General features: G+C 38.9%; 1 protein-coding gene and 1 long non-coding RNA gene across 22 annotated transcripts in view; one reads left to right on the top strand and one right to left on the bottom strand.

Annotated features, from left to right (window-relative positions):
• Nucleotides 1-24,247, bottom strand: part of CEP112 (centrosomal protein 112) — a 556,597-nt gene that overhangs the window by 225,995 nt on the left and 306,355 nt on the right. The window lies entirely within an intron of this gene.
• Nucleotides 17,794-24,247, top strand: part of LOC105371867 (uncharacterized) — a 34,476-nt gene continuing 28,022 nt past the window's right edge. The window contains exon 1 of the long non-coding RNA XR_001752977.3: nt 17,794-17,881. This is a non-coding gene — a long non-coding RNA (uncharacterized LOC105371867). The remainder of the gene's footprint in view (nt 17,882-24,247) is intronic.

Genomic DNA, 24,247 nt, shown 5'->3' on the forward strand with positions numbered 1-24,247 from the left:
GCCTAAAGTATATCAACAAGTAAAAGATAAATAACCCAACAGAAAATAAGTAAAAACAATACATGACTAGGCACATCATAAAAGGCAACATTTTAATGGTAAACATGAAAAGGTGCCCAACTTCATTAGTCATCACAAATGCAAATTAAGGCTATTTTGATATCATTTTACAATCACCATATTTGCAAAACTCAAGAAGTCTGACAATACCAAATGCTGGCAAGAATGTGTATCAATGGGTACTCTTACACATTATTGATTTGGGTGTAACGTGATAAAACCCTACTGTAAGTTAACTTGGCACTACCTCGGAAAGTTGGACACGTTCATAAGCTATATCTGTTGAGAATCTCTTACACGTGAACACCAGGCACATGCCCAATAATGTACACAGCAGTATTTGTACCATAACTCAACTTGTCCGTCATAGTTGTCATTGATTTATCTTGATACAATGGAATATTATATACAGCAAAATGAATTAACCAGAGCTGTGCACAACACAATGGGTGAATCTTAAACATAAGATACTGAATGAAAAATGCAAATCAGATTACCTACAACATGCAACCATTTTTACAAAGTTCAAAAACAAACAAAAATAATATTTTGTTCAGAGAATATATATATGTACAATAAAGCCATAAAACATTATTAGGTAACTATCAACACACAATTATGAATAATGGTTAACTCTGGGGAAGGGTGGTTAGGAATATGGGAAAGGAAGGAGCACACAGGTACAGGCAGCAATTTTAATAGTGTTCCAATTCTTGGCCGGGCATAGTGGCTCACGCCTGTAATCCTAGCACTTTGGGAGGCCAAGGCGAGTGGATCACGAGGTCAGGAGATCAAGACCATCCTGGCTAACACGGTGAAACCCCATCTATACTAAAAATACAAAAAATTAGCCGGGCGTGGTGGTGGGCACCTGTAGTCCCAGCTACTCAGGAGGCTGAGGCAGGAGAATGGTGTGAACCCAGGAGGCGGAGCTTGCAGTGAGCCGAGATCGTGCCACTGACTCCAGCCTGGGTGACACAGTGAAACTCCACCTCAAAAATAATAATAATAATATGTTCCAATTCTCAACTTGAGTGGTCAGTTCATGATGTTCATTTTGTTGTATGTATTAGTATTTAAATATTAATTATGACATATTCTTTGTATGTATCAGACACTAGATAAAAATTTTAAAAAGATGACACAGACGTTTTAAGCCCAGCTGACAAGAAGAATGCTTCTAAAAGATAATTTCTTAAATTTTAGGACAATAATTATTTTTAATACATTGTAAGAGTGCTACTATTTATTATGGAAATGCACATAGCCCAACAATTTTGCTTTTTTTGTGAATATTTCATAGGAGACACTTAATTCTAATTATGTTTTTGAATATTACATGGCTTCATTATTCCTTACTTTTGTTTAGTATTTAATAAAGTTAATTAAAAAATAATATATTCTCTTCAGAATAACATATTAGTAGTTCTAGTAGGCATTTTAATTATGTATTGTTAATATTAAGGCCACCAAATTTATGATTTTAAATCATATGAAATGTATCAAAATTATTCCTCCATTTTCATTATTCTGGACACAATACACATACTTGGATTTAAGCTTATAAATTCAAAAAAATACATTATTTTAATTTACGGTCTTTTAGTCTCCTAATATTATTTTGTAAATGTCACATGCAAAAGAATTTTCTTTCATTTTATAAACAACTCCCATAAGACCTTAAGCATAAAAGAATTTAACCTTAAAAGAAAACATGGCTTTTGCCTTCCAAAGATAAAAGTTACTACTAGAAATAATGACAGATGGTTAATTTGTTTCTAACAAATTAAATACAATAATTAAATACTAATAAGCTCTGTTTTGAAGCAGGAGAATGGTGTGTCATGAGCACGACGGGTTCAGGCCATAGGCATGATTAAAAATAAACAAAATGGGCCGGGCGCGGTGGCTCACGCCTGTAATCCCAGCACTTTGGGAGGCCAAGGTGGGAGGATCACAAGGTCAGGAGATCGAGACCACGGTGAAACCCCGTCTCTACTAAAAATACAAAAAAAAAATTAGCCGGGTGCAGTGGCGGGTGCCTGTAGTCCCAGCTACTCGGGAGACCGAGGCAGGAGAATGGCGTGAATCTGGGAGGTGGAGCTTGCAGTGAGCGCCACTGCATTCCAGCCTGGGTGACAGAGCAAGACTCTGTCTCAAAAAAAAAAAGAAAAAAAAAAGAAACAAAATGGTAGAAGACAGACTATTAGGAGGTTTTAATTCAGCACAGTCTGAGGCAGAGGTGTTCCTAGAAAGATGAGTGCCTCCACGGCCAGGCACAGTGGCTCACGCCTGTAATCCCAGCACTTTGGGAGGCCAAGGCAAGCAGATCATGAGGTGAAGAGATCGAGACCAACCTGGCCAACATGGTGAAACCCCGTCTCTACTAAAAATACAAAAATTAGCTTGACAGGGGGCACGCACCTGTAGTCCCAGCTACTCGGGAGGCTGAGGCAGGAGAATCGCTTGAACCCGGGAGGCAGAGGTTGCAGTGAGCCAAGATTGCGCCACTACACTCCAGCCTGGGCGACAGAGTGAGACTCCTCAAAAAAAAAAAAAAAGTGAGTGCCTCCTGGGAACTCTGGATTTGACACAGGTTTCAGATCTTTCAGATTTTTGATCCTCGGGCAGTTTGCCACTCCATGTGTCCACCTAACTATCCATTACCTCTTCGAGTCATATTTTAAGATGCTGGGTTGTCTATGTTAATGTGCCTAAGTGTCCCTTTCAGAAGAGCTGTAGCCTTGTTTATACCCACGATGTAGCAAGGAAGCAGAATTTTCAAGATGTGGATTAGATTTCAAGAGAAGCAGTCCAAGCTCCTGACTTCCTCATCACTGGAAATTTCTTCCCACAGTGAAAGGGCAAGGACCCTAATAACTGGAGCCCTGACGCCATTCTTCCACCTTCCTCGACATTCTTCAGCTGGTCACAAACACAATTAGTTAGTGATACAGTATGGAAGTGACTAACCTTTGGTCAGGCATTATCAGAACTGCTTCATTCAGGCTTCTGAGAGCACGATGTCACAGAATTCAAATGTACTTGTGCTTCTTATGTAAATTATGAGTGAGCGTAGACTAGAAAGGCTGAGGCGTGCCTGCTCATGGCTGTTGGCTAAAGGAAAGAGCACTACAACACCACCGGCATCTTTATTATTACAAGGACGTAAATGCCGCAGGACCAAAAACCTCCCAGATGAGTAAAGATGTAAAATGAACATCTAATTTCTCTACTGGTCACATCATGTAGAAAAGGTCAGAGTGCTACTATAGCCACTATAGCCACTCCTGCAGTGGGTGGGCTTTTTAGGGGTAAGCAAGTGTGTGTGTGTGTGTGTGTGTGTGTGTGTGTGTGTGTGTGTGTGTGTGTGTGTGTACATATCTATGTACCTTTTATTCACTTGGTCCTTTCATTTTACTTTATACAGGAAAGACTGTTTTTTTGTGTGTTTTGTGGATTTTTTTTGAGACAGGGTCTCACTCTGTTGCCCAGGCTGGAGTGCAGTGTCATGATCTCGGCTCACTGCAGCCTCACCTTCCCAGGCTCAAGCGATCCTCCCACCTCAGCCTTCCCAGTAGCTGAGATCACAGGTGCATGCCACCACGACTGTCTAATTTTTGTATTATTTGTAGAGACAGGGTCTTGCCATGTTGCCCAGGATGGTCTGGAACTCCTGAGCTCAAGTGATCTGCCCATCTTGGCCTCCCAAAGTGCTGGGATTACAGGTGTGAGCCACTGCGCCCAGCCAAGAAGGACTGTTGCAGTTGGTGTGCATGGCTCGTATATAAGTGAGATAACTAGCTTAGGGTAAGTATCATACAGTGAGAACTAAGCGTACTATATTGAGGAGGGCAAGTTGCTAGATATATATCTATAATACTGATGGCAGCAATGGGCCGTCCAGATCCCCAAGGCAACCTAGTGCACCACCCACACCCTTGCACAGCTGGGCAGGACCCACTTCCAGGCCTGGAGCCTCTGCCACGGCCTCAACCTCCCTCCCCATAGGTCTCAGGAGCCCACCAGCACGTGGCTGAAGGTGCAGCTGGGGACTCCTGAAGCCGGTCCCAAGAGCATCAGGTTTGCTTGGGCAGGGTTGGCTGGGGTTGCCAGGCCACCTGCCCCTCACCTGCCACTGCTGCAGGGAAAATGCAGAGAGAAGGTGTGCAGTGTGCAGAACCCACTCCTGGGAGGCCCCTGGAGCCCGCCACTCTGGGAGCTGTTTTGATGGGGTCCGGCCGCGTCACCTGACAGTGGCGGAGCAGCACGGTTGGGCACAGAAGGGTGGACAGAGAGGTGCCCTGAGGCGGAGCTGGGCCCAGGGCGGTGCTGCGCTCTACACAGCCGGTGGGAGCTGGGAGCAGGCAGGAGCCTCACCCTCCTGGGTGCAGCTGTGGTCACTCAGGTCGGGGCTGTGGACCTGGGCCTCCCTGTGCTCTAGGGGTCTAGAAGCAGGCAGGAGCCCTGCCGTCCTGGGTGCAACTGCAGCCACCCAGACGCAGCCACGTACCCAGGCATCTCAGCACTCTCGGGGGCCTGGGAAGGCCCCCCATTTCCCCAACAGGGTCAGAGATGTCTGCTCCCACTGCCTGGCCTCTCCCTGCTCCCGGCACCCACTCCAATCCTGGAGCAAGGTTGGGGCCGAGCCCAGGTGCTGTTGCAGCCTGGCCGGTTGTGCGCACCCTCGAGGTATCACGGACACAGCAGCCCCCTGCTGCCTCAGTCCCCTCCAGACTTTGGGCACCAACGGGCATGGGAGGGAGGCCAAGGCGGGGCTGAGGGCAGCTTGGCACTGGCCTGCGCCCCTTGGCACAAACAGCCTGGGCAACATGAATGGCAGCAGGAGGCAGACAGGCTTCTGGCAGGAGGTGGGTCCCTGGTGAAGCCCTACCTTCAAGCCAGGGAGGGACTGAAGCCTGGGAGCTGGGCTGCTGGTCCCCGCAGATGGCAGTGGAAACCTGTGGTGCTTTTTCTCGGCCTGCCATAGCCATCCATGGACCAATCACAGGCACTTCCTCCCCTCTGAGGCCCATAAAAAGCCCCGGACCCAGCCATATCAGAAGAGACAAAGGATGACCAGCTGACAAGAGGAGCTACCCACCTCAGGGTCCCCTCTCTGCTGAGAGCTGAACACTCATTGGGACAACCTGCCTGCAGAGAGGAGCTACCCTCTCTGCTAAGAGCTGAACACCTGTCTAGACACCCTGGCTACGGAGAGGAGCTACCCACTCTGGGTCTCCTCTGAGCTGTTCTATTGCTCAATAAAGCTCCTCTTCATCTTGCTCACCCTCCACTTGTCTGCATACCTCATTCTTCCTGGACACAGGACAAGAACTTGGGACCTGCCAAAAAAACAAACCCATGCCCCTTGCTCACCACATTGCAGATGACAAGGAGAGAGGAGAGACGAGAGAAGGAGAAGAGCTGCAGCCCTTCAGGGAGCCCAGACTCAGGAGCTCCCCAAGCCAGGGCTGTAACATCCTCTTTAAAGCTCTGCGGTTCCTGATGTCTCCAAGCTTCTGGGTGCCACACCACATTCCCCTGTGTCAGCCATGGCAGCTGCTTATGGTATGCCCAGTCCAGCTGCAACTTTGCAGGGAGCTAGCACACCTGGAGCTGCCCGCCCCACCGCTGCTGGCATGCCGGCCTGTGCACAGCAGCTGGACCCCATGCTCGCTCACATACTATTCACCACTTTGAGTGGGATCCAGGCAGGTAATGCAAGCTGACACAGCCTGCCAGGCCAAGTGGGTGAAACAAACCCAGTGGACCAGAGCAAAACCCAGGCAAAGACGCCACTGGCCACAGAGGTTTCTGGCTGGTGAAGCAACACCCCAAGGATCCTGTAACAATACTCTAATCTTACTTTGAAGATTTTGAAAATACTCCAGGACCATACAGTAATTCAAAGTCATTATTACAAAGACCAATTATCAATGTAAAGTCACATAAATGTATAAAGTTTAAGAGATTGGGGTTAATCTACAGAAGCCAGATGAATATCCTGTTAAGTAATTTTGAAAAAAAAATTCTTGTTTTTAGCTATTTACTTTAATGGAGCCTATACATTTAAATTCTCCTTACCTCTTTTTCTTTAGATTCTAAATAATAAGGAGTTTATTATTTAATAACTTAGCTTTATTTATTACTATGTATTTCCCATTTTAATGTTTTTATATAAATCACCCCAAATTTGTTCTTAGTTATATGTCCCTAAAATTTCACTGAGACTGCTGTCAAGTTGGAAATACTGAGAGATAACTTTTAGTGTCTGCAGCGGCCAACTTATGAAGTAAAGGGGGAATGAAGTCACCCATGGCTATTTTTTCAAATAATGTTGAAGGGGAAAAAAAACCCTGATGACTAGGTTTGAGAATACATATTTCTGTTATTTATAACATAAAATCGAAGTATATATTTATTATGAGTTTATATTATATGTATTAATAAATTTTTTAAATTAAAATATAAAGAAGAGATATTCTTTCTGTTATATTTGGTTCTTGTTCGTTATGTCAAAGTTATGAATGAGGCAAAACTTCAGATTTTTATTTGTCTAAAACTTTTCCTCCACCAAAATAAAATATCTCATTTTACTTTTTAATAAAAGAAATACATTGATGACCAGGTGCAGTGGCTCACACCTATAATCCCAGCACTTCCCAGAGGGCGAAGAAGACGGATCAATTGAGGTCAGGAGTTCAAGACCAGCCTGGCCAACAAGGTGAAACCCCATCTCTACCAAAAATACAAAAATTAACTGGGCATGGTGCTGGACACCTGTAATTCCAGGTACTCGAGAGGCTGAGGCAGGAGAAACGCTTGAGCCCAGGAGATAAAGGTTGCAGCAAGCTGAGATCATGCCACTGTACTCCAGCCTGGGCAACAAAGTGAGACTCTGTCTCAAAATTAAAAAAAAAAAAAATACATTGAAAGAAATATGCATTTTGAGATTTATCAAATATATAGAATTGATGTTTTGAAATTGAATATGCAGATTTCAAAGGACAGCATACACATTAAAAAACAGAATATATTAGGAAAATACTGTTGTATCAGTAAAAAAGAATATTTTGGATAGGTTCAACCTGTCAATTTATTTCATGGAGACTGAATTTATATAATGCATACAACTATATATATGTTCATTAGCATTTAAAAACTGAAATTCATCTAAACAGTGAAAATTAAAAGCATATTTTACTATACAATTATACAATATGCGTTTTAACATTTTTTGGAAATGATTGATTTCAAATTAAGTCACAAGTTATATAGTTATTTTACAGGTGAGGCAACATTTTGCTGTACGTTTCTGAATTAAAGTTTACATTTCTTATAGTATTTTTATAGGGCTCAAATTTGAACACGTGTTCTCATAAGTTATTGCATAGACAGGTAGCTGGTAACAGTAGAAAAGAGACACATTAAGGGATGCAGGTAAAGTCACATAAAAGTCCGGGCAAGAAACCAGCCCTTCAGATGCCTAGGTCAGCACATTTTCTATTTTTAACCTGCTGCATTCTAACCTGCAAATAGAACTTTCTTCACTAATATTGTCTGTGCTTTATCAAGTGGAAAATATTTTTAAGATCCCTTAAATGACCAAGAGCTATTTAGAAATACAGCCAGCAGATTACCTTTAAAATGATTCAAAAATTGTTCTGAGAGCCAATAAGGCATATTTGGTATTATCGGAAGTGCATGTGTGTTTTTCAACTCTTGTTCTACTATTATTATTAGACCTAGTAATTGGAAATGAAATCATTAGCCCATCTTGTGGTTCGGTGAAAATATTTCCTCTGCAACTTGTAAAGATGAAGAAGAGGCTTAAATTCACCCAAACTCCAAAGAATAGGTTAGCTGTGGAAGGAATTCTATACACAAGACTAAAGTGTGGCACCTTTGTTCACAATGACACTAGTAAACTACAAGATGAAGGAGAGGACAGAACTTAACATATAGGAAAGGCAAGATAAACTTTCTTTTTTTTTTTTTTTTTTCAGACAGAGTCTCACTCTGTTGCCCAGGCTGGAGTGCAGTGGTGTGATCTCTGCTCACTGCAAGCTACGCCTCCTGGGTTCACCCCATTCTCCTGCCTCAGCCTCCCAAGTAGCTGGGACTACAGGCAGGCGCCCGCCACCACATTCGGCTAAATTTTTTTGTATTTTTAGTAGAGACAGGGTTTCACCGTGTTAGCCAGGATGGTCTCGATCTCCTGACCTCGTGATCCACCCGCCTAGGTCTCCCAAAGTGCTGGGATTACAGGCGTGAGCCACCACGCCAGGCCGATAAACTTTAATTTGGTTAAAAACTTTAGAACAATTAATACCCAGGTTTGGAGCACACTACAAAGGTCTAATGTCAAGAAAAAAAAATTATCTTGCCTGCAAAAGAGGACAGTACTCTAGGTAGAGAATAAGAAAGAAAGAAAGAAAGAAAGAAAGAAAGAAAGAAAGAAAGAAAGAAAGAAAGAAAGAAAGAAAGAAAAGAAAGAAAGAGAAAATACAAAGAAAAAAAAGCAATCAGTGTATGTGCTTATCTGAAAGGGGAGAAAACTTCAAAAGGAGAATTAAAACATGTTATGAGTTCACATGAACTGGAAAGCATTATGGCTACATTTGTTTTTTTGTGAGTAATGATACCGGTAAAGATTCATAACTGATGTTGAAATTTCTAGTTTTATTTTAAAAGAACTAGCCACATCATCTAATTAAAAATAGATCTTAAAGAAAGTGAGTTAAAAACTCCATAACAATCTGCTCCTAGGTTAAGTTAAAACTAAAAAAGGAAAAAGAAGTTTCATAGCACATTGATCTATTTTGGAAAATTGCAAATGAAATATCTACTACACGTAAAATAGCTATGTAGAAGCATTTATTATATAAATTAAATGATTTTAAAGGTAATAGAAGTACTATATATTTTTTCTAGACTCAAATAGAATTATAAAAGTAGAAACATTCCAGTTGAGACTGACTGAATGACACTGAAACAAAAATACCTTCAAATTGCACTTTTAATAACCTTATCCTGAAAAATGCAGAAAATCAGTATTAAAAAGCCAATACAGGTGCATTATCCATAACTCACTCTGGTGCAACATCAGGGCTCACAAACAGAAGGACTACGTGTCAGGAAGATGTTATTTGCAGCATCTAGAAACACCTAAAGTTATTTTCTTGACAGAGTTTCCAGGAGTGACAGGTAACCTATTTGGCCTTCGAAGAAGAATAAAATTCAGGCTGAATTCTTCTTCACTAGAAAACTACTTTTATAAAGAATGTCATTCAAGTAATTGGAGAGAAGGTTTTCAACACCCTCTCCACTTACTGTACTTCCCCTTTCCAGGGAAGCAGAGTTTTGACCTAGGTTTTTTGCCAGTTCTGTATTAGCTGCTCAACCCAAACACGATACACACTAAGGTTGCAACCACCCACCCACATTTTATGAGTGTCATTCAGAACACACTAATTACTGTGCTAACAATGGTAGGACATTACTAAAGTATTCTAAAGTTTTGGTTGCTTAAATATAAGAAATTCTACAACACTGGGACACAAACAGTTGAATTTTTAACAATGAGATGAAAGAAAGGAGAGTGCTGCCCCCTGTGAAGTGGATTCCAGTGGCTGCCTCGGTCAGAATCATCATGGTGATGATGACTTCTTATCATGACTTCTAACGGCATTTCCCTCCCATCATGTGCACGTTTTGGTGCACTGTGTTCACTCTGTGCAACTACTACTTTAAATACATGCAGGCCGGGCACTGTGCTGTGGCTCACGCCCAGCACTTTGGGAGGTCAAGGCAGGCAGATCACGAGGTCAGGAGATCAAGACCATCCTGGCTAACATGGTGAAACCCCATCTCTACTAAAAATACAAAAAATTAGCCAGGCATGGTGGCAGGCGCCTATAGTCCCAGCTACTCGGGAGGCTGAGGCAGGAGAATGGCATGAATCTGGGAGGCGGAGATTACAGTGAGCCAAGATCGCACCACTGCACTCCAGCCTGGGTGACAGAGCGAGACTCCGTCTCAATAAATAAATTAATTAATTAAATTAAATAAATAAATACATGCAGAGAGAGGAAATCACTCTAATGCCATTAATGCATTGGTGTTGAATATCTCCAGGACAGCAACATAGTATCCTCGCTAGACAACTTGACCTCAAAGGACAACTTTACTGACCAGGTGGGCCTCCCCAAGATATCTTCAGTGTCAGATGACCTTGCATTATGTTTATAGTGTCAGTAGAGAGTGGAGTTACCTTGCTCTTAATCCCTGCACCTGTCAAAGCATCTTGGATGACTTTTACATCAACGAAGCAACCCCATGGGACTATGCAACAATCAATTTACTATAATAATTTGTACTTTTGTACATCACCTTCTTATTTGCTGCTTTTTTTCTCTATTCATAAAATGAATTCACCTGATATAAAAATAAATTGTGTGGGCAAAGCCAAAGTAAATAACTAGAAAAAATGCACTAACTAAATTCATGGTAATATTATTTGCCTCTGGTTAAAAATATAAAATACATAATTGTTAATTTTAAGTTATTTATCCCTTTTCAACATTTAAAATTACCTTTTAATTATATTAACATTTTTGGGTTTCTTTTAGCTGAGGCTTTTATAAGATTTAACATAAAAAGGCTATTCTTAAATAAATTCAAGTGTATATTCAAAAGGTATAAATAGCTCTATAATAAAAACTGGCCAATAGACATTAGAATCATAATACATGATTATTACATACATACATGAGAACAATAATATAAAAATAAAGGTTTTAAGTTAATTTACAGAGGGATTTAGACTACCAGTTTTAAGAATTCATCTTACTAAATATAATGTTAAATTCTTGTCATTATATTCTTGCATCTGGTAAAACTAGACAGTTATGAAATTTAAGAAAACTTATTCATCTTAGATATTCAACCATTTAGCTACAGACACAATGATCCTAATTATAACAGTGTTTAAAATAAACCAAGGAACAAAAACTACCTAGATCAAAACCATGGACACCAATAGATTTTCAAGACCCACAGAGAAATGCAGTAAGCAAGTTTAGAGATGAACAACTAAAAAAGTAAATGTGGTTTCATTAGCTTAACATTTTAAAATAGCTTTGTGAATTAATTTTTTCACTGAAAACTAATAAACATCAAATGTATTTTGAACTTGACATTTTTGATAACAAAATCTTCTACCCAATTTAGCTCACAGCTCTTCTAAAAACATTCCGCAATTAAAAAGCTTTGTCCATGTAACTTCTACTAGTCCATATTCAATGGGTTTCCAATGCCTGTTAAAACGACTGGTAGCCTACTAGTTGCATGTTGTACTTACCGAGAGTACAGAACAAGGTCACCTGATAGTAGATGAGGTACATAATTTACGAGATTGTTTTCCTTTTTGTTAACCTAAAAGGTCCAGAAACTCCTTTCATCCTCTCTGTCCCATGCAACTTCAGGCACCAGCTTGCACTCTCCCTCCCACTCATTGGATCATTCCCTGGGAAGGAAGGACATACCCACACTCAAGCCAAAATGAATCTTGCCTCCAAGATGGGCTGGCAGCTAGGAACTCTGGTCATGGTCCCATCGGGCTCACCTGCCTGACTAAACCTTTTTGTTACCCTCCATCTCTGATCTGGATTTCTTACCTTACACTTGTCACTAAACTGAGGTTACCACCAGTTTCTCAAATTGTTTTGTGATTACATTCTTGACTTTCGGTAATTATGTTCTTTTATCTCTTGCTTTAACTACCTGGACTCTTGAAGTTCATTCCTTGACCTCTTGATCTGACTTCATTAACCTCAAGCTGACTTACTTGAGTTTCTGACCCATCATCTGACTCTCCTAATAATTTAATGGTCCCTATTAATGCTTACCTTAGCTATCCAGCTTCTATTCTCCTCCCTTTGCCACCCCCTGCAGTACTGAGATTACTAGATTTATTCTAGTAAATAAATATCCATTTATCCCCCAGCACACCTAAGTAAGTTCTAGCAGGAAAATAACTACCTGCAAAATGTTGAAAGAGAAATGCATGTTGCCATGGATACAGACTATATTTATGACCTAACCTTTATTCCATGTAGTTCCAAAGCAAAGAACTAGCCAATAAGGAGGCAGGAACTTAACTAAGAATGTGATCCAAGAAATCAGAAACTACATATTACTTTTATTAGAAGAAAATTATATAAAGTGTTTTTGTTTGGTTTTTGTTCTTTGTCCAGTAAAAGATGCCTTGAATATGGGTATATAGCATATACCAATTTCATGTCATAAGGAAAGAATTTTTCCCAGTCCTGTGTGATTACAATTGAGTGTATATAATAAAGTAGATGCTGTTGATTAAAATGCTCTGCTTAATACAAACCACATCAGTTAAATAATACTCTGCATTTCAATTCTACATTTCAGAAAACCATTATATGTATGCATATGTGTACAGATATTTTATTTGCTTAAAATTTTACAGGTAGCTTCACAGAGTTATTTGAAATCTTTATAAATATGTAGGTATTGTCATTTCCATTGAAAATGATAAAAATGGGTGCTCAAAAAGATGGGATTAAGGTATCTGCTTTAGTTCACAAATCTTGCAAGTAGGAATCAGAGTTGACACCCATACCTTCTGATTTCACTTTTTTGTACTTTTAGACAGCACTGTCTTTTAGTTAACAAAAGCTTATTGCTCTAGATATCATAGAAATTATTTACAGAGGCTTAGATTCCAGTGACGAGGGCACTTTCTTAAATTTTTAACAAAATCTTTAACGACCATTATTAATTTTGTTTTACTTTATCAACAATTGCCAGCTGGACCAATAACACTGATTCAGCTAACATGTCAATACAAAAGAAATCCAAAGTAACATTAGTGGGAAAAAGCACATGTTGGTTTCATCCAGATGAAGGTACTTCCCATGTATTGGCAAATTTTCTCTCTGAAATAATGTCATTTTATTAAAGCCTGTAATTTTGCTTCTCTCTTAAAATTTTATTGCATCATAAAATTACATTTCAACAGGATGTTCAAGATTTATTATGAAAATTTTGACTCAATCTGTCTTTGATTGATTGCCACTAATATTTTGGTTTTCCATGCAGTTTCTATTTCTTACAGCATGCTTCCTAATCCTTCTATTAGATTTGATATCTTCAACTTACTACCCACATTGTAGACAACTATATTACAAGGATTATCTAATGTATTCTCTATATTGACAAAACTATGCCTGTAAATTATTCTTTACATCGTAATCAAAAATGTGTCAATCTTTGTTAAAGTATCTATGGTTTCCCTATGCTACCTTAACTGTTCATGACAGTAATTACCTAAATGATACTTATCCTTGTCTTCTTAACCCTAAAATGTATATACCTTTGTTCCACTGACAGTAGATATATCTTACTGACCATTCTCATAAGAACATAGTAAATGATGGTATCAAAAAATGTTTTACAGAAGGCAAGATAGCTGTATTCCAAAACATCAGATAGAGACCTAAAATGTCTTTTAAATATCTCCAAATTTCTCTGAAAAAAAATTGATGATGAATTATTTAGTCAGAAATTTGTCCAAACCACAGAATATAATTCTTTGGAACATATCAGGAAAGTTGACACAAATAGAAAAAGAACAGTTAGACCAATGCATTGCCAAAAGTTTTCTTTACAAACTTTTTCCACTGAATGTTTGTTTTAATTTAAAAATACACATAATCAAACCAAGTAGTATAGAAATGCCCTTAATAAAACCATTACATTATGACTTATGACTACCCATCTGCAAGTCACTCCCCAGAGGCAGACACATTTTATTCTTTCAGTTATCTGTTTTCAACTCTGATGATCGTGACCTTAATACCTTTACGTACTTCATAAATTAATTTATTCACAATCCATTGATTTTCTGCTATAAAAAATATTTAGTTTACTTACACCATTTACTCTTTTTCACTTCAAAATACAGTTGTGTCACAATTTTTAATTCTCTTATTGGTTATTTCTATAACTTTCAATAGAATAACTAAACTTTCATTTTTCCAGAAATTATGTAGCATCTTTTAATTCCTCACTTCACGCAATGAGAATATTAGTACTGCCTAAACTTCATTTGGCCTATTCATTCTCACAACCCCTATTATCTAAATTTTCACTTCTGTTACCTGCACTTTGGTTAAAGTTGGAAACATTTATGTTGTGTCTGTAACCATGAGTATATTTTCTATGTTTCATGTATAAACTGATTTCAAAATGTGAAATTTAATACGTAGAGTCTAATCATTATTCAAAACACAACCAGATAATATGTTACATAACTACACCTTGTTTCTGGCAGTTTTTTGTTTCTCCTGAGGCTTCTAATTTTCTTCTTTCTCCCTTGCATTTTCTGCTTTTACTGCCTCCTAACATTGTTGAGAATTCTCATGAATAGTATCTAGAGTCTTCTTCCTCACACTCCACTTCTGTTCCAATCTGGACTGGATGTTCTTTCCAGACTCACTGCACAGCTATACTGTGCAACTTTTCTCTTCTCTTCTCCTGGACAAGATCCACTGTTCAACGAATCTTCTGTATTTCTCTTTCATATTTATTCCTCCATTTTATTTAAGAACATCCATACAACCTCCAAAGAAATGCAGAAAATAAACTTTCCAAATCCTTGCATGCTTGTAACGTCTTATCCAACCTGAGATTTCTATACAATATTGAATATTGGCTTATGTATAGAAGTCTGACTTGTAATTTTTCCTTTTCATAGTTCTAATAAAGGCATTTTTCTCTTTTACCATTTATTATTTGAAATCTGATGCCAATCTATCTTGTTCCTACATAGAGGACCTGATTTTCCTCTGGGAGTTTTTGGGATCTCTCTTTTATTCCTTCTGTTCTGAAATGTAGCAATGATATGTGGAGACATGGACCTTTTCTTTTGTGATGCTGGTACTTATTAACCTTTTCAACCTATAGACCTATACCCTTCGGCCCTGTAACTTCATTGACTTCACTATCATTATTATGTAGCTAATTCCTCCACTACATTTTCTGTTTCTTGAACATCTTGGATTAATCATCAATGTCTTAGATTTTTGAAATATATTTTTACACTCTATTTTTGTCTCTGCTTGTTGTTCTGTTTTGTGAAAAATATTCTTGATATCAATTTTGGCTGGCCTTTAAAAAAATTTAATTTCTAAGAGCCCCTTCTTATTTTGATTGTTACATTTTCAGAGCAGCCTGTTCTTCTTTTATGAATATTATATCATTTTCGATATTTCAGTTTTGCTTTCCTTAAATCTTCTTTTTTGTATCCTGAGGTTCTTGTTTTTTCTCTGTGATCATCTGTTTGTTTAGTCTTTCTCATGCCTCTCAGGCCAGCCTTAAACTTCAGATAATCTGCGATTATCTGTTCCTATTCAAGGCAGTAAAATGCAGATGAGAAGCTCTGCACGTGTGTGTGGCTAGAGTCGGCTTGGTAAGGGGTTTACTGCCTGATTGCGGCCCAGCCCTCTGTCTGATTGCAGTCCAGCTGCAATTCAAATCTAATCCAGTTTTCCCACCTTGGGCTTTCTCCAAACCCAGGGAAGCCTGCTAAGCCCAAGTGCAGGTGTGACCAGGAAGTACAGGAAGAGGCAGGAAGTGCAGGGCCATGCAGGAAGAACAAGTGTGGCCAGGAAATGCAGGGGCAGATGCCCTTTGGGAGCACCCTCAAACACAAAGAGCTGGAAGTCCAGGGTTAAGTGCTGTAGACTCCCTTTCTTTGGTGGGACAACTCTGTGTACATTCTAAAAGATTACCCAGGGGTCCTCAGTGGAATGGAGTCTCCCTTACTCTTAAAGTAGTAGCTTGCTCAAGGAGGCACCCTTTATTTGTTGTTCTCCCTTTTCTGTCTCACTCTCCTCATTCCCTCACTTCAGACTCCTACAATTTGCCATAAATGGTCTCAGGGACTCTATTTCTAGAATAACCCAAAACTAAGACAATACCATGCAAACTGAAGCTCTTAATAAGGTTCTTTGTAACACTATGTAACACTATGTAAAAACCCTATGTAAGAACACTATGTAAAAAAACACTATGTAAAACTGCAAAGGAAAATGGTAGGCTGATTTCTATGAATATATCTAGTTATCCTTCATTCCAGTCGATTTCTATGGCCATTAGTTTAAAAATTAGTAGGCATGAAATTATGTGATGTGATATGAGATGTACACATATACACAATGGAATATTATTCACCCTTAAATTTCTTCATATTTGTGACAAAAATGGATGAACCTGGAGGATATTACGCCAAGTGAAAAAAGCCAGACACAGACAGACAAATACTATATGATGCCACTTATATGTGGACTCTAAAATAGTAAAACTGATAGAAACAGAGAACAGAATAGGCAACTCCTCATTCCAGGGAGCATTGGGAAGTGTTGGTCAAATGATACTGTTTCAATTACACAAGATGAATAAGTTCTGGAGATCTAATATATACCAATGTGACTATAATTAACAATACTGTTTTGTATACTTGAAATTTGTTATGAGGGTAGATCTTACCTGTTCTCATTGCAAAAAAAGAAGGAAGGAAGGAAGGGAGGGAGGGAAGAAGGGAAACTGTGAGATGTCGGATGTGTCAATTAGCTTGATTGTGGTGATTATTCCACAATGTATATGTATGCTAAAACATCAAATTATGCATCTTAAACATATAAAGCTATTTGTCAATTATACCCCCAATGAAGCTGAAAAAATGATGAAGCAAATATACACATTTTTTAAAAGTCTGCTTTTAGTGACCTTTAACCAATTTAGTGAACTGCTAAGCGACCTTGAGTAAAACAAAATGATATATGTACAAAACAAAGCCAACCATAAAGACAAAAAATGGGACAGGCGTGTTTGGGGGACACTCATCAGTTAAGAACAGCTTTCCACCACTTTTGGAGGAGAGAAAATAGGACAATATCGAGGTGTTGAGGAATGGAACATGCTGTGAAAGCCGGAACTAGTGGGGAGGCTTCAGCAGATCTAGGAGCCCATTTAGCTATCACACATTCTCAAGAGGCTCTGGGCTCTGGTACTATAAAGATGGAGAAAACAGTGAGAAGTGAAAATAAGGACGAGCCCCCAAAAGCCTGCATACAGAGGGGTTGGACCCACCCCAACCTACAGATTGTAGGCAGTCCAGGTGAAAAACAGAAGGCTCTTCCCTAAAAAAAAAAAAAATGGAATGAACAATCTGGGAAAACCCACAGCTTCTAGTATGGCTTCTACAACCCCAGAATAAAGCCTCTCTTCATTCCAGCCCTTAAGGGGCCTGAATTCTAACACATCTATTCCCCCAAAACCAGAACTCACTCTAAATTCCCACTCAGGGAGAGATATATTGGGAGGAGGGACAGAAAAGAAACTCCATTTACACAACAAATCACTATCCCATCTGCGTAAACTGAATAATGCATCCCTTTCCCAAAATGTTACCTTATATGTGAAAAGGGACTCAGCAAATATGATTAAATCAATGATTTTGAGATGGGAAATTCCCCTGAATTATGTTGTAGGCCCAAGGTAATCGTAATCATGAGGGTCCATATCACAGCGAGGCCAGGAATGACAGGGTCAGAAAGAAGGCATTGTGACAATGACAGCACCAAGAGGACAGGTGACATGACATAGGGCTGCAAGCAGGAATGCTGTGGGCCTGTAGAGGCTGGAAAGTCAAGGAAACATACTTTTTTCCCCTGGAACCTCCAGAAGGAGCCAAGGCTTCCAACAACTTCATTTTAGTTTTGTAAGACTAATTTCAGATTTCTCACCTTCAGACCTGTAAATTAACAAATTTCTGTTCTTTCCAGGTACAAAGCTTGTGGTAATTTGTTACAATAGCAATAGGAAACTAATACCATTTCCCTTTCGTAAATGTGACTCAAAAGCAAGAATCATCGAGCAGATAAGAAAAGCCAAGACAAATAACTATGAAAGATAAACAGAAAAACCAACCCTGAAGGAAAGAGATATTTCAGAGAATAGAACTTAAAAAGCAGTCTAATTCATAAACTTGGAAAGAGGAAAATTTATTATATTTATTAAATGAAAACAAGATGCTCTGAAAAAGAAATAGGAAAAGTACAAACAGATCTTTTCAAGTTTAAAAATATGATTCCAGCACATAAGGGAAAGCAAATCTAAAAAAACATTGAGTGAAAAGACAAAATGAAAAAAAAAATTTGCAAAAAAAAAAAAAAAGTCATGCAGGCAAATCCAGGAGGTTCAATATACAACTGACAGAAGCCCAGAAAAGACAATAAACAACAACAAAGCTAGGATAGAAAAATTATCAAAGAAATCATCCAGGGGAATTTTCCAGACATGGAAAGGAACCTGTACCAAGTCACATCAATAATGAAACTTTAGAAGCCCACATATTTTGTTAGATTTATTTCTGGGAACCTTGTGGTTTTGTGCTATTGTAAACGGTATTTTTTAAAAAATATGTTGTATATTGTTACTCATGTATAAAAATACAGTTGATTTTGTATACAGAATTGATTTTATATCTAGTTATTTTGCCTAATTGTTAATAGATTTAGGAACTGTCAAACTATTATTTAGATGACCTATAATAACAATAGTTCTGTTTCTTGATTTCCAATCTTACCTTATTTTTTCTCATCTTACTATGGAGACAGGGACTTCTTTAAAATATGAGATAAAGTCATGATAATGGATATCATCACGATTTCTGTTACTATGAGCAAATACTATTTTCAAGAACATATGTATTAAAAACAGGTTAAAAACCAACAAACATCAAATTTAAAAAATGGGGGGGGCTATCTTATGGAGGCAGACAATGTGCTGAAGGCAGTTTCCATTAATTCAACTGACTGTGCAAGCTATGACTTCTTTCTTGTAAAATGTGATGACTATTTACTATCAAAGACCTTTCTAAGTTAGGCTCATGGTCTCTTCTAAAGAAGGTAGCATTGTCTGCTTTCTGAGTTCCTTGTCTGCTAAGTTCCTTGATTTAGAGTTAGAACATAACTGACAGAGGCAATGAACCACCTTGTAATTGTGAGGTGTGAAGACGTGCTCTGAGGCTGGGGCTAGCTCACACCTCTGACCAGAGTATGGACACATGTGGCCAGTGCTCAACATCAGTTAAACGTCTGAATGTTTTTTATTCAAGCAATAAAATCTTTTGATTGTTCAACCTCGGGTCTTTACCTAATAAAGGAGCAACACTTATTAATTCCAAAATGAACTCAATTTCAAATGAGAAAGCCTATAATTATGATAAAAACACAAAAATGGGCCAGGTGTGGTGGCTCATACCTGTAATCCCAGCACTTTGGGAGGTCAAGGAGGGCAGATCACAAGGTCAGGAGATCCAGACCATCCTGGCTGACGCAGTGAAACCCTGTCTCTACTAAAATACAAAAAATTAGCCAGGCATGCTGGCATGCGCTTGTAGTCCCAGCTACTCGGGAGGCTGAGGCAGGAGAATCACACTTGAACCTGGGAGGCGGAGTTTGCAGTGAGCCGAGATAGCGCCACTGCACTCCAGCCTGGGCGACAGAGAGAGACTCTGTCTCAAACAAATAAACAAACACCCAAACAAACCCCCACAAAAATGGAATGGAAAGTCAAACGCTCTCTGGAACATGGAGGAATGCTACTTTTTTTTTATAGCTGATGAATTTTTCCTTTTTCATCATTTTTATGAGAACAGGCACAGCCAAGTTTTACACATTAACTTCAGAGGCAAAGCAGAAAACAGGTGTGTGTGTGTGTGTGTGTATGCACATACACATACATTCATGTTGCATGTTTTCCCCTTGGCCATCAGACATAGCTTCAAACAACCATCTTATTATTTTATCCCTTAAAAGTTAATTTATTGCCTTGGAAAGAGCTAAAGAGGTTTCTGAAGATGATCTCAGACAATCTTTTGTCAATTAACTATCCTCAATTATAACATCATACCCACTGGACATGGATAAAAAGAACAAGTGATGGCTCTGTGGTACAGCAGTGCCCCATGACACAAATACCACATTCATCCTCATAATGACAACATGCCAATGGTATAAGAGAAATATCTCTAAATACTGAATTTAGTTTATGTACCAGAGAAGTACCTAAAAAGTCAAACCACATCAATCTCAAGAATCACTACAAGGAGACCACAAAATTAAAAGCATTCTCTATTCTGAACTGCATTTTGAGGATTTCAACATAAACTTTGGAGGAGAAATTAAAACTGTGTAGGAATACTACTGTTCCCTCACTGCGGAATCAGTAGCACAATTCACTCCTTGGTTGATTGTGGTAGCTTTTAGCAAAGAAGGAAATATGGGACTTTTGACTGTGTTCCTGCTTTTCATGGACATGGTAGCCTCCACAGGGAGAAATTATATGGAAGTAAAATAATTTTGTACTTACTGAAAAACATTAAAGGAGTAATAAAGGGGGAAAATTATACTCGTTTTGACTGAAACTAAAGTCCACAAGAGCAGTGCCCACAGGGCATGCACTACTGAAAAACAGAACCTCCCTTCTGCCTGCTGCCTGCTCCCAGAATGGCCTACATCTCCTTCTTCACGGTTGATCTCAACTGATTACGTCTCTAATACTGTACTGAGCACATAATTTTATATGTATGCTTCTTTGCCTTTTGCCCCTTAGGATTAAGTGGGTCTTATTCATTTTGGCATCTTCAACAGCTAGCAATGTGCCTAAAACTAAGAAGGCCCGTAGTACATGTTGGGCAAATATTCTTTCATTTTAATCATATTGCCAGAATGGTTCTCGGAAATCATTATTATTTGGAGATTTAATGACCATCTCTGCATATTTTAGAAATCTGAGGGTTAAAAAATATGATATGGAAACAAGCAAAGCCCAGATCTAAAGCAATCTCTGCAGCATAGTTCAATGTATTGATTTGTGTTCCCTCGTTCACTGATTAAGCATCGGCACTTGGGCCAGGTGCTCTAGTAGGTTATTGGGATTCAAAACAGACAACATATAGTCCCTCCTCTGGAAGACACAAACATGCACAGGATAATGACATTACAGTAAGTATAGGCTTATGTTATACATATGTCTTTGTCACTGTATGTTAAAAATTTTGTGAGAGCTCAAAGAGATGAGAATGATAAATACACTGGCAAAGCCACCATCCACTGAAGAGGAAACAAACAAAACCAAAACACTAAAACAAGTTGGTGGCTTCTCTGAGAGCACAGCAAGCCGTGAGCCTCCTTCCCTGTGACCCTACTCAACTCTTAGTTTGACTCCTCAAGGGGCCCTTCCTTGGCTTTTCTGTGGCTCTAATTCATCAGTGAATCTGCCTTCATTAATACAGCCACATGCATATGTTTGCTGAGGTCACAGTCTGTACTAGGAACCTTTTAGGCATAGGGTATACAGAAGTGAGGAAAATTAGTAAGGTCTCTTTTGTTTCAGTCTCTGGGTGGAACAAACAAATAGAATAATAAATCTGCAATTTAAATGGAAAAAAGTGTTATGAAGTTCACAAACAAGGTGCTCTGATAGAACACAGCAAAAGAAGATGCTGGGAAGGTAACAATTAGGTCAGATCATACAAGGTATTGCAGCTCATGCTAAGAAGTTTACATATATATATATATATATGAAGTGTATATATATATACACACACACACTTCATCTATATACTTCGTATATATATGATGTATATGTGTGTGTATACACACACATACATTTTTTCCCCAAGACAGAGTCTTGCTCTGTCACCCAGGCTGGAGTGCAATGGCATAATCTTGGCTCACTGTAACCTCCGCCTCCTGGGTTCAAGTGATTCTCCTGCCCCAGCCTCCCAAGTAGCTGGGATTACAGGCATCTGCCACCATGCCCAGCTAATGTTTTGTACTTTTTTTAGTAGAGACAGGGCTTCACCATGTTGCCCAGGCTGGTCTCTAACTTCTGACCTCATGATCTGCCTGCCTTCCTTGGCCTCCCAAAGTGTTGGGATTACAGGCGTGAGCCACCGTGCCCAGCCAGAAGTTTATATTTTACTCTAAGTGCAAGCTATGAAAGGATTTTAAGCAGGGGAGTTTTCTAACCCAATGTACATTTTGAAAAAGATCATCATGTCTGTTGAGAAAAATAAGAGATAAGGCAAGATTATCAGTTATAAGATTACATAGAGGCCTGGACTAGAGGAGTGGGTGGCAGTGAATAAAGTGAATGGATTGGAGATCAATTTGGGGGACTGAATCTATAGAATTTACTGACAGGTTAAGAGAAAGGAAAAAAATCAAGAATTATTTCCAAGTTCTGCCTTGAGCACTGAATGTACGGTACATAGGGAGGTTGGGAGGGAGAGGCTTCAGTTCTGGACCTATGAAGTTTGAGGTGTTTGTGAACAAGCTAATAGAAGATGTCAAGAGCACAGAACACAGATGAGAGACGGGAACTTGAAGGTTATTAGCATATAGTTGTTAAGGCCACTGAAATGCAGGTAATCACTTAACAGAAACATGAATACAGAAAAAAAAGTGGGGGTAGACTCCAGTGTTCAACGTGAAACAGAGGAGCTAGTGGAGAAAACAGAAACTAACGTGGAGAAGTAGAAGTGGAAGAAGCAGGAGGAAAACTGGGAAGATACAGATAATTTGGTAAGACAGCATGAAAGCGTTATTTGCAGTGATGAATATCTAGCTACCTGGTGAAAAGCAATGAAGACTAGCTAGTCAGGGTAATAAAAAAGAGGGAACTAAAACAGAATTACAGAGTGAACAGAATTATACTGTGAGAAATCCAACTTCTTCCATGTAATTCAGTAAACTCTTACATATCTACAGAAAATATGTAAGGAGTAGGTAAAATATATTTCCTGATACATCCTATACAAAAGTGTCTTATTTCAGGTTTTCTTCTAAAGAGGGAAAGACAAGTCTATGAAACATTCTAGAATATGAGGTAGGCTATAGACAGTCATCTATAGGACTTTTCCCAACAGTTAATGTTTTGCAAATTTAAAACTATACATATTCGGAATTTATTCCAACTATAGTTTGGATATTAGTTTGTAGTTTCTTTTTTTTTTTTCTTTTTTTTTTTTTTTGAGACGGAGTTTTGCTCTTGTTGTCCAGGCTGGAGTGCAAGGGCGCCATCTCAGCTCACCACAACCTCCGCCTCCTGGGTTCAAGCAATTCTCCTGCCTCAGCCTCCTGAGTAGCTGGGATTACAGGCATGTGCCACCACCCTGGCTAATTTTGTATTTTTAGTAGAGACAGGGTTTCTCCATGTTGGTCAGGCTGGTCTTGAACTCCTGACCTCAGGTGATCCACCCTCCTCGGCCTCCCAAAGTGCTGGGATTACAGGTGTGAGCCATCGCGCCCGGCCTAGTTTGTAGTTTCAAATAAAAATCCTATTTGAAGAGCTTGAAAAGAATGTTGTATAATTATTAAGTCTGCACAATTAAATGGTACCTAACCTCCCAAGTAAATGGAAGAACGATTTTTATATTCTGAGAAATAGCAGATTTCTAATATAAAAGCAGGTGCAGATTATCTTGAGAAAATTTTCTAATGGATTGAGATTATTTATACTGATTTATATTTAGAACATTAAAAATTATCACTTTTTACTTTAAAGTGAACTTGGGTTTATCTTCTAGGTTTGTAATGTCCCTAAACTACTCATTCAGTTACTTAACTATTTGGCTGAAGATAATATTTATCATTCAACAGCAACAGGGCAAAGACGATGTTGAAATCTGCTTTCATAAATGACTTTTTTCCAGATCAATAGCAGAGTAAGGGGAACTATTTTAATGCAAAACAAGTCATTGTTTTAAAGTTATGTTGTTTTCCTTTTTAAAAAAAAAACGGTTTGAATTAACTGCCTATGCTTCATTACCCTGCAATGTACTTCAACACATTTACACTGCAAGAAGAATATGTAATAAAAGAGAAGCTGCATCTTCAAATCTTTCTTGTCAAATTTGAAGAGACACCAATCAACCAAACACCTCACTAATAGTCATGAGACTGCTGTTTTAATTAGCTGGTGATATTTCTGACTAAGACTCTCAGATGATGAAACTGTTTTTCCTTGTATTGAACCAGCTTGGCCCAGACTAGCCTGTCCTGCAGTGACAGGTATA

The sequence above is a fragment of the Homo sapiens genome, chromosome 17 (genome assembly GCF_000001405.40).
Source record: "Homo sapiens chromosome 17, GRCh38.p14 Primary Assembly".
Taxonomy (NCBI): Eukaryota; Metazoa; Chordata; class Mammalia; order Primates; family Hominidae; genus Homo; species Homo sapiens.